The following is a 9,373-nucleotide window of genomic DNA, read 5'->3' on the forward strand; positions in this document are numbered from 1 at the left end:
CATGCCACCTCTTTGCCTGCTGCATGCAGGTGTTAAACTCACCTTTCCATCCAGGCTTTACTGAAGCCCTGCCTCTTCCAGGAAGCCCTCTTGGGCAGCGCTGGGCCTCAGGGTGTCATCTCCTCTGAGTGACCTCCTCTCACCCCAGTTGTTAGAGCCAGAGAAGATAGAGACAAACCCAGACCAGACACTGGGGAAAGGGGAATGTGTTCTGGAGAAAGGAAATATGGGTAGACTAGTAGGGAGTGTGAGAAGCTGGGGTACGAAACAGATTGCTCTGGGCCTTGATGGATGAGTAGGAGTTTGTCAGGTAGAGAGGTGGGAGGGCATGGCAGGCACAGGGAAAGGCAGAGGCTGGGCACTGAAACAGTCATCACTGGGTTGGGGATGTGAGCAGGGTGGGTGGGTGGTGGAGGAGACTGGAACAGGGCTGTGAGGAGCCTTGCAGGCCACCCTTTCACGCCATTCTGACCCTTCTGCATTCAGAGGCATTCTCTGGAGATGGCTGTGTGTGGGAGCCAGAGAAGGCAGGCACATTCATTTGACACCTACTGAATGCCAGGCACCGGTAAAGAGCTCATACCCATGATCTCTTTGGTTTCTCACCCAAGTTGGGGATAGAGACTCGTGGTGTCCCCATTTTACAGGTGGAGGAATGGGGCTCAGAGAGGGACAGTCTTTTGTCTGTAACCACAGAGCCAGGAGAGGCAGGGCTGGTACGCAGTTCAGGTTCATCCCACTCCAGAGACTGCATTTAACCCCCGTTCAGCCAGAGGCTAGAAGACACCTGGGAGAGGGTTCTGCGGAAGCAGGTCACCGGGAGGGGGCACCCATTCCTAGAGGCAGGAGCCCCAAGTTCTCGGGGGTGGGGTGGTTCCTGACTGGCGCGGTGTGACCCGGGCCAGTCTCGTTCTCTCTGGGCCTCAGTTTCCCTCCTCCACGGGGCGGCGATGGTCAACACAGGTTCCTGCCGGCCCGCCCCGTAGCCTGGGGTTCCAGGCTCCCGTGCCACCGCGGCCCGCGCTGTGTGACCTTGTTCCAGTAGCCTGCCCTCTCTGGACTGGCGGCCCCGGATTTCCAAGCGCTCTTCCGGATCGCGACAGAGCGGTCGCCCGCTGCGGAGACCCTCCCCCTTCCCCCGGGTTGCGGGGGCGTGGGTGGGGGTGGGGCGCCAGGAACGGCGCGGGCCCCCCCAAGGCCCCCCCAGCCCCGCGCCCGCGGCCCGATCCGCGCCTGGTTTTGGGCGCAGCCGCACGGCCCCCTCCCCCGCGCTCCTCTCCCCTCTCCCCGCCCCCTCCCCGCCGCTCTCGGGGAGCCGGGGCCGCACGGCTCCTCCTCCCGCAGCCGCATCTGGGGCGCCGCGCCGGCCGGAGGAGAGGCATGGGGCGCCCGCGGGCCGGAGCCGGGGCGGGGGCCGGGGCCTAGGCGCGCGGACCTGCGAGCGGACCCGAGAGGCGGCGGCGGCGCAGCGGAACGGCAGAGCGGGCCGGAGGCGGCCGAGGCGCCCGGCGCAGGTGAGGGCGCGGGGGTGGCGCGCGGCGGCTCCTACCCCCTTCCCGGGCCGGCGCGCTCCGTCCCTCGGCTAGACCCCCCGATCTGGTCTCCTCCCCGACAGACCTCCCTGAACCGGGGGACGGCGCTGGCGCAGAAAAGCCCCCTCCCCTGCCAGTTCTGTCTTCCGATCCCGGGTCCGAGGGGCCGGCTGTGCGGCTGGGAAGCGCCTTCTCCGGTTGGGATCGCCCCATCCATGTCTCCCCGGACCCTCAAATCGGGGGCGGCGGCACCGGGGCCCGGAACCCCTGTCCGGGACCGGATCCCCATTCCGGCTCTTTTTCCCGCGGACTCCCCCGTACCCCATATCAAGCGGCTGCCAAAGCCTGGAAGCCCCCTCCTCAGGCCCGCCCCCTAATCCGCAGGGCGGCCTGGGGGTCAGGCGGACCCCTCCCGTGCCCGGCCAACCTTGGCGCTTGGGAGAGCAGGGCTATGCCGGCCCGGGCATTCCTCCATTCAACCCAGCTGCCTCGGATCCCGTCTCGGTAGACCCGGGAGCCGCCGGCTCCCCCCTTCCCGAGCTCTTTCCCTGACCTGGCATCTGGGGAGGGGGCGGGGGCAGCACCCCCCTCCCGCGCTGCATAGCGCCCCCTCCCTGTTTGCGTCCCTGGGAGGGGCTGGGCTGACCCGGGCACCTGGGCTGGGGGGGCACTCACATGGCTACCGGAGGCCCCCACGTGCGGCGCCCCGCGGAGACAGGGGTTCGCGTTCAGAGCTGGTGGCGGATGGACCAGGTGGCCGCGGGGACCAGCTGGGTCCAGATGTGCTGGGCCTGCTGGAAGGGGACAGGTGCTACCTGGACGTGTAATGGCCCTTGGTCTCTTTTGGCCGAACCTGCCGCTCCGATCCCCCTCCATCCCTTCATCCCTCCATCCCTCCATCCCTCCATCCCTCCGGCCCTTCTCCCCTTCTTCCTCCGCTGCCTGTGTTGCAGAGAGGGGCTGTCAGAGACTGTTGATGTGGGAAAAAATGAAATGGGGGAGGGGTTGTGATTGGCAAAGGCCAGTTGTGCCGGGAGCGGTGGGTAGAGGAGGTGCCCTGAGAATGGGAAGCCCTAAGCTTGGAGGGCAGCGCTGATGGGGAGAGGGTTCCTGGCACCCCCACCTGCCTGGAAGTGGAAATGACATAGCGGGAGGGGGCTGCAGTTCCAGCCCCCGGGGGACTGGCCTGCCCTGCCTCTACCTCCACTGCACCTCCTCTCCAAGCCTAGTCCCCAGTAGGGAGGGGGGAGTCCTGGCTCTCTCTGCCTCTGAGCCCTCACTTGTGGGAGGGGGCTGTTTTCCGCCAGCTGGAAGTGGTGGGAATCAGTTGTACAGGACCATCTCCTAGAATGCCTGTTGGAAGAGCCCTGTTTCTGTCCCTCCTTGGTGGCCACCTCTCTCTTGCCTTCTCTGCCAGAGGGCACTGGGCTGCCTGGTCCCAGGGTGGGGCTGCAGAGCTGGTGCCCTGGCCTGGCCGATGGGTGGCTGGAGTGTTGGAGCCACCACCAGGCCCTAGAGCCGGCTGTCGGGGCCAGTCAGCAGCAGACTCCGAGTGTGTTCCCAGCAGCTCCGGAGACGCTGGCTGTGCACGTGGGGCTGGCTAGAGTGCCTGTCTCCCGCTGTGGCAGGGGTAGGCCAGGGATCCTGTGTCCTCCAGGAGCTGGGACAGCGCAACTCAACTTCTGGGAGTGTGCCCGTGTGTGGTGTCCATGGCGACCCCGTACTCACCTGCCAGAGGCCTGGTGAGGCCTGTGCTGGGCGCTGGGGAGTGCAATGGCTGACAGGGTCCCCACCTCCAGGAGCCTCTTTTTTGTTGGGGGAGGCAGCCTGTGTCAGGCATTGGAGACAGTGTCCATGCTGAAGAGAAACTGTGAGCTGGACGGGACCTGATGGCTGGGTTATGTGGAACCCCGGGTGCCAGCCTTGAGATGGAACTGCAGGTCTGAGGGCTGTGCCCCGGGCGTGAAGCTGCCTGGCAGCTGAGTTGGTGTTTTTGAAGGAAGGCTGTGCAGCACTTGGGAACTAGGAGAGAATGTGTGCTTTGGAGCTTTCGGGAGACGCTGACGTATCGGATGTATCGGGGCACCCACTGACATCTCATTAGGTTCTTGTGTGGTTTGTGAGCCACAGGCTTCGTAAATGCCAGCAGTTTCACATGATGGGGAGGCTCTGAGGAACTGTATCCCGGGCACCGTATGTGACAGAAGCAGGTGGTCCCTACCCTCCTATACTTCCGTGATGGGTATTCATTCATTCAGAAAAGCATTAGAAAATCGCATTTGCTAACATCAGTGCATTTGAACACTTTCATTTAAACATTCTGAAATGTGAATTAATAAAATCTTGAATGCAGGGTTTTTTTTTATAGAAAGTACACAGTAGGTACTCAATAAATGTCATGGCTCCCAGGATGAAACCCAACCTCCCCCTCCCCCAACTAGCTACTTTCTAGCCACCTCTTGCTCCCCACCCCCTCCCTCTTTGGCTCGGGTCCCCCTGGCGGGCCTTCAGTTCCTGGAACAGGCCACGTTCCCTCCAGCTTCAGGGTCTTCACACATGCTGGCTCCTCTGCCTGAACATCCCCAGCCCCCTTCTCCCACGTGCCTGTTTCACTACTGCTCATCACCCAAGCTTAAGCATCGCTTCCAAAAGAAAGCCTTCCTCGATGCCCAGGCCAGGCTGTGTCACTGTCACCACCCGCCCAGCCCCGTGGGCCTCTGCTTCATTACCCCGTGCCCATCCTTCTTGGATGTCTCTGGGTGTGGCTGGTGTGGAGAAGGGCAGGGTCGTGCCTGTCTCTTCACGCCATTCCTCTGGTGCTGAGAAGATGTCTTGGCTCAACGTGTGCACTCATCCATTTCTTTTGACTTTTGACGACCTGGTCCATTCTGAGTGGAGGGCTGGGCTCTGGGGAATGGGGGGAGACTTGGCCAGGCCATTGCCAACATGACTGTCCATGTGCGTTCCTGGCCTCCAGCTGGGTCTGCATACCCAGAGGCATTTAGCCAGGATCTGTGGGAGTTACAGGCCTGTAGCCCCTAAAGTCCCAGCAGGTCTGTGGGACCCCAAAGTCTCTACAAGAGGGAGAGGGGCCATGCTGGGGCAGACCTGGCATCTTTAGAGGTGTGCCCCTGGCCAGGCATTTCCCCCTGTGGCCATTCATTTGCTCACATCATCACCTGTTTACCTGTTCAGCCCTTCCTTCACTCGCCAGGTCACTGGCCTGTTCACTCTTCCATTTCCTAGTCCTCTGTCCGTTCTTTGGGCTACTAGTGCTTCCTGAGGCCCACTCAGTGTCCAGCCCTGTGCCAGGCTTGGGGACACAGAGTCAAACCTGTGAGGACCCCACTCTGTAAACTGTAGCCATCCTGCCAGGTGCTTCCTAGTGATGGAGACTGGTGCTGTCCAACCACTGGAAGTGCTTCATAAAGGACATGCGCTGAGCAGGGTTTTGGAGGATTTGGGGATTTGGGTAGATGGAGAATAGTGGGGAAGGACACTGCTGGCTGCAAGAACTGCATGGACAAGCACAGTGGCCCATGCTTGTAATCCCAGCACTTTGGGAGGCCAAGGTGGGAGGATTCCTTGAGTCCAGGAGTTTGAGACTAGTCTAGGCAACATAGTGAGACCCTGTCTCTACAAAAAAAAAAAAAGAAAGAAAGAAAGAAAGAAAGAAAGAAAGAAAGAAAGAAAGAAAGAAAGAAAGAAAGAAAAGAAAAGAATTGCATGGATAAAGGCAGGAAGGCAGCCACATGCTGGTTGAGCTTGGGGATGCTGAGGGTTATGTGTCCTTCTAAGAGGAGGTGGCCACTCCTGAGTGGGCCACAGGGAGGCTGGTGGTGGAGGGAGTAGGGTGCAGTCATGGTCGGCATCCACTCTTCTAGGAGCCCTGTTGCGAATTTGCTGTGTTTCTTTGGATGAGGCGTGTCCCCTCTCTGGGCTCCCTTGATAAAGTGAAGACTTGGACCTGATGATCTCTGAGGGACCTTCTGCCTTCCACTGTCCGAAGTCTGTGATCCTGGGAGCCCTGCATCTTGGGGCATCTGGTGGGCTGTCCTCCCATTTTCTGGACAAGGAAACTGAGCATTAGTTTAGTTTATTAGTAAGGTCTCCAAGGCTGCACAGCTGGTGAGGTGGAGGTGCCAGGGTTTGGATCCAGAGCAAGCCACTGGGTTTGCTGTAGTGGCTTTGAAGGACAGCTTTTGTGTGTAAGCTCCCAGGGCTGGCATCAGCGTGGGGCTGGCGAGGCTTGGCAGTTTCTTCTAACAGATGACCCTGTTGGTTAAGGGAGTGAGGGTGCTGGAGAGCAAACTCACTGGGCATCTTTGAGAAAAGCTGTCACCGAGGAGTCCTGTGTGTTGCACCAAAGACAAGCCCACTTCCTACTTTATCGGAATATGGGGGGATGCTTTGTGACTCACATGACTAGATTTTCTTTCATTGTGACCTATGGGGGAGAGGGTTGCCTGTTCTGTTCCTATATCCCCTCCACAGCGTCTCCTGGCAACTCCTCCAGGCCAGGACTGAAGCCTTTAGGGGTGTGCAGCACGTGCAGTACTCTACAGTTTGCAGAACCCATTTCATCCCCCCATCTTCTAGCCACAGCCAGGGTTAGGAATGAAAAGGGATATTGTCTGCATTTGACAGATGAGGAAACTGAGGCTCAGAGTGGTTGGGTGGCTGCCCAAGGTCACTCGGAGGGTGGGGGGGGTGGACCCTCAGCCGAGGCGCCCCTCTCACTGGGTCCTTGCAGGGAGGGCAGCGTTTAGGGGCTTCTCACTTGCAGATCACACATTATTTCCTGAGCCGAGGAGTGGGGCCCAGGATCCTTCTGTGCTGGGTTTCGCAACGCCGCCTCCTCCCTACCGAGCTGTCTGACGTGGCCTTTTCAAAAACCCAAAATGAATGGAAGCACATTTTGTTTGGAGAATTTTGCTACACCCCTCACCAGGGCTGGTTGCAAAACCAGGCTTGGGGATCCCTACTGATGTTGACGATGATAATAATAATAATAACTGTATCACTGGCTAGCATTTCTTTTCATTCATTCATTCCTTCAACAAAGCATTTTAGACCATCTCCCAGGCCATGTGCACTGCTCAGCCCTCTGTTAGTGAGCACCGATGTCCGGACTCTCTTTCAGCCTCCCTCACACCCTATTATGATTATCACCCCCATTTTATGGAAGAGGAAACTGGGGCACAGAGAGCCAATGCTGCACAGCCGGTGAAGTGGAGGTGCCAGGGTTTGGACGAAAGGCTCCCTCCCCATGACAGAGGCTGGAAGACAGAGGCCGGGCTTTGGACGTAAGTCAGTTAGAGTTTAGAGGCTGGTCTTAGCCCCATGTTCTGGGGATTCTGAAGTTCCCGTTTGTTCCACAGCAAGCGTTGGGTGGGGAGGGAATCAAGTGGAGCAGACCCAGTTCCTGGCTTTGGGGAACCTGAACAGATGCGCTGGGGGCAGAGCTGGGTCTGGTCTGGAGAGCAGCCTTGGGACCACCCTTGGACTCAGTGGCTGCTCTGCTGTCAGTGGCCACACCTCCCCCAGCCCCGCCAGAGGCCCCATCTGAACTGTGAGGTTCACGGGTACCAAGGGATGGGCATCAGAGGAGAACTGTGGCCTCTCTCCCGGCTCCGCTGTGCTTCCCCAGCATGCAATTCTGGTTAAGCCAGCTCATCTCTCAGGCTTCTCACGGGGCACGTGGAGTGATATGGAGTGACCATGACCGGCAGTCCATTGGTGAGGAAGAACAAGATATTTGGCTCCTGGGACCGTTCATGGAAAAGGTAGAGCCCTCAATATGCACATGCACACGCACACACACACATGCACGCGCGAACACACGCACACACACACACACACACACACACAGTGCAGCCGCCCCCCGGCTGCAGTCACATTTGCGCTCCTCTTAGGTGAGAGAAGGGCTGCGCAGGTCACCCACCTCTGGGAGTCTGCTTCAAAAGTGGCTAATGGAACATTTGGTGCATGAGGGGGTCATCTTTAGAAAGCATAAGATGTGGGCAGGTTCTGTCTTTGATGATGTGGAAATGGGGCAGGCATCCTGGTGTTTAAATGGAGCAAAAGACTTATTGAGGCACTTATGGAGCGCCTGCTGTGTACCTAGCACTGCACTGGGACTCAAGATGGGGGATTAGAACAACGCCCTGAAGAGGTGCTGTGCTGGTGGGGGCAGTGGGACTCTGCACCCCGGGTGCTGGGCTAGGAGTGAGCACTCGGCCTCTGGGTTCAGGTGTTTTTCTTCCTGCAGTGACAGATAAGCCTGCGGGGGCAGACAGAGGTGGGTCCGGGAGGCTTTCTGTTGCAGCTGCCAGGACATGGGTGCTGGGTATCTGGGGGTTTGTAGTAAGAGGAACGAGCAGGTTTGCTACTGCTGTGTGTCCCTAACTGATTGCCTGCACCTCTCTGGGCCTCCATCTACTTGGTGGGAGTAGAGGTGGGAGTTTGGTTTCTGAGTCTTTCCCGGCTTAGCCTTCTGTGACTTCAGGGATGAAACGAGCTGGGCTTCCCTCTGAGCGGTGTCAGGGAGTCCTCACTGCCCTCACCCCTGACCTGCCGCCTGGCTTCTCCACTGCCCTCTATCTTCCAGCTCCTGTCATGGGGAGGGAGCCTTTCCTTCCCCCACTGCAGGCTGACTGCGTGCAGTGACGCAGCACCCGAGGACTCTGGAGTGCAGCTTGTAAACGGGAATCTGGGTTTGCTAGAGACAGGGGGAAAGGTTCTTCCCACCACCCCCAGCTGCCTGCCTGCCTTTCTCCCTCCGTGGCTGCCACTAAGCCCTGGCACCTCCTCAGCTCTGCCAGATCCACTCAGGGAGTGGGAGGCTCAGGACTGGAGGTTCAGCTGAACAGGGCCCAAGTTGGAGTCTCAGCATGCCAAGGCCTTGCTGTGTGACCCTGGCATGCTTGCCTGCCTTTTCTGAACAGTGTGTACTGTGAGGGCTGGGCTGTGAGATTCTGGGGCTGACCAGGCAGCTTTGCAGTGACAGCTCTGGGGTGGGGGGGGGTCACCTGCAATTGGAGAGGAGCTCCTGGCTGGACTTGGCCTGCTGCTGGGGGGGCAGGGCCGTGGTCCAGAGACTGCTGGGTTGGAGATAGAGTCAGGGCTCTCTGCCGCCTGTGTTTTCCATGGGCACACCCTGCAGCTGAGGGAGCAAGGTGCTGTGGTCATCCGTTTTAACATCTGGGGAAACTGAGGCTGCACAGCTGGTGGGTAGTAGAGCTAGGATTTGAACCCAGGTGTGTGTGATTCATGCACCCAGGTGAGAAGGTAGACCCCAGGCAAGAGGCCAGCTGGGCAACTGTGCACCTCCCTGTGCCCTCTCTGGGTCTCAGTTACCCCATCGGAACAGCAAGAGTCAGGAGGTGATGTTGGGGTTGCCTTACCCTTCTCTGAGCCCCACCTGGTACTGCTGGAATTTTCTGAGCTTCCCCACCTGACCTACAGCTCCTATCCTCAAAGTGAGTGTGGCGGCAGGTGAAGGGGTGTCGGCATCTGACACTTCCTCAGGGACCTGCCACCTCGGGGTGTGAGGGATTCCTGGAGGACTGGGAGTGCACAAGGCCTTCCAGGGACAGCGTGCTGGGAGCAGAAGCGCGTGCAGAGGCGGGTGGCTCTGGGCGGCCTGGGGGTGTCGACTAGACCTGGGGCCAGGCCCACCTCTGCCCATCTATGCATCCAACCCTCATAGATCTGGTTCACAGGGGACTCTGGGAGAGTGCAGGCGGGGACAAGGAGGGAGGGCTGGCCTCGGGGTCCTTCCCACTCCCTGTGTGTGTGCGTGTGTGTGTGTGTGTGTGTGTGGTGTGGTGTGTGTGTGG

At 59.3% G+C, this 9,373-nt stretch overlaps 1 protein-coding gene across 5 annotated transcripts in view; it reads left to right on the top strand.

Moving 5' to 3' along the window:
• Positions 1 to 1,340: 1,340 nt before the first annotated feature.
• Positions 1,341 to 9,373, top strand: part of DLGAP4 (DLG associated protein 4) — a 222,295-nt gene continuing 214,262 nt past the window's right edge. For all 5 annotated transcript variants that reach the window (NM_014902.6, NM_001365621.2, XM_011528689.3 and 2 more), the window contains exon 1: positions 1,341 to 1,514. The gene's annotated coding sequence lies outside the window, so the exon portion shown is untranslated. The remainder of the gene's footprint in view (positions 1,515 to 9,373) is intronic.

The sequence above is a fragment of the Homo sapiens genome, chromosome 20 (genome assembly GCF_000001405.40).
Source record: "Homo sapiens chromosome 20, GRCh38.p14 Primary Assembly".
Lineage (NCBI taxonomy): Eukaryota > Metazoa > Chordata > Mammalia > Primates > Hominidae > Homo > Homo sapiens.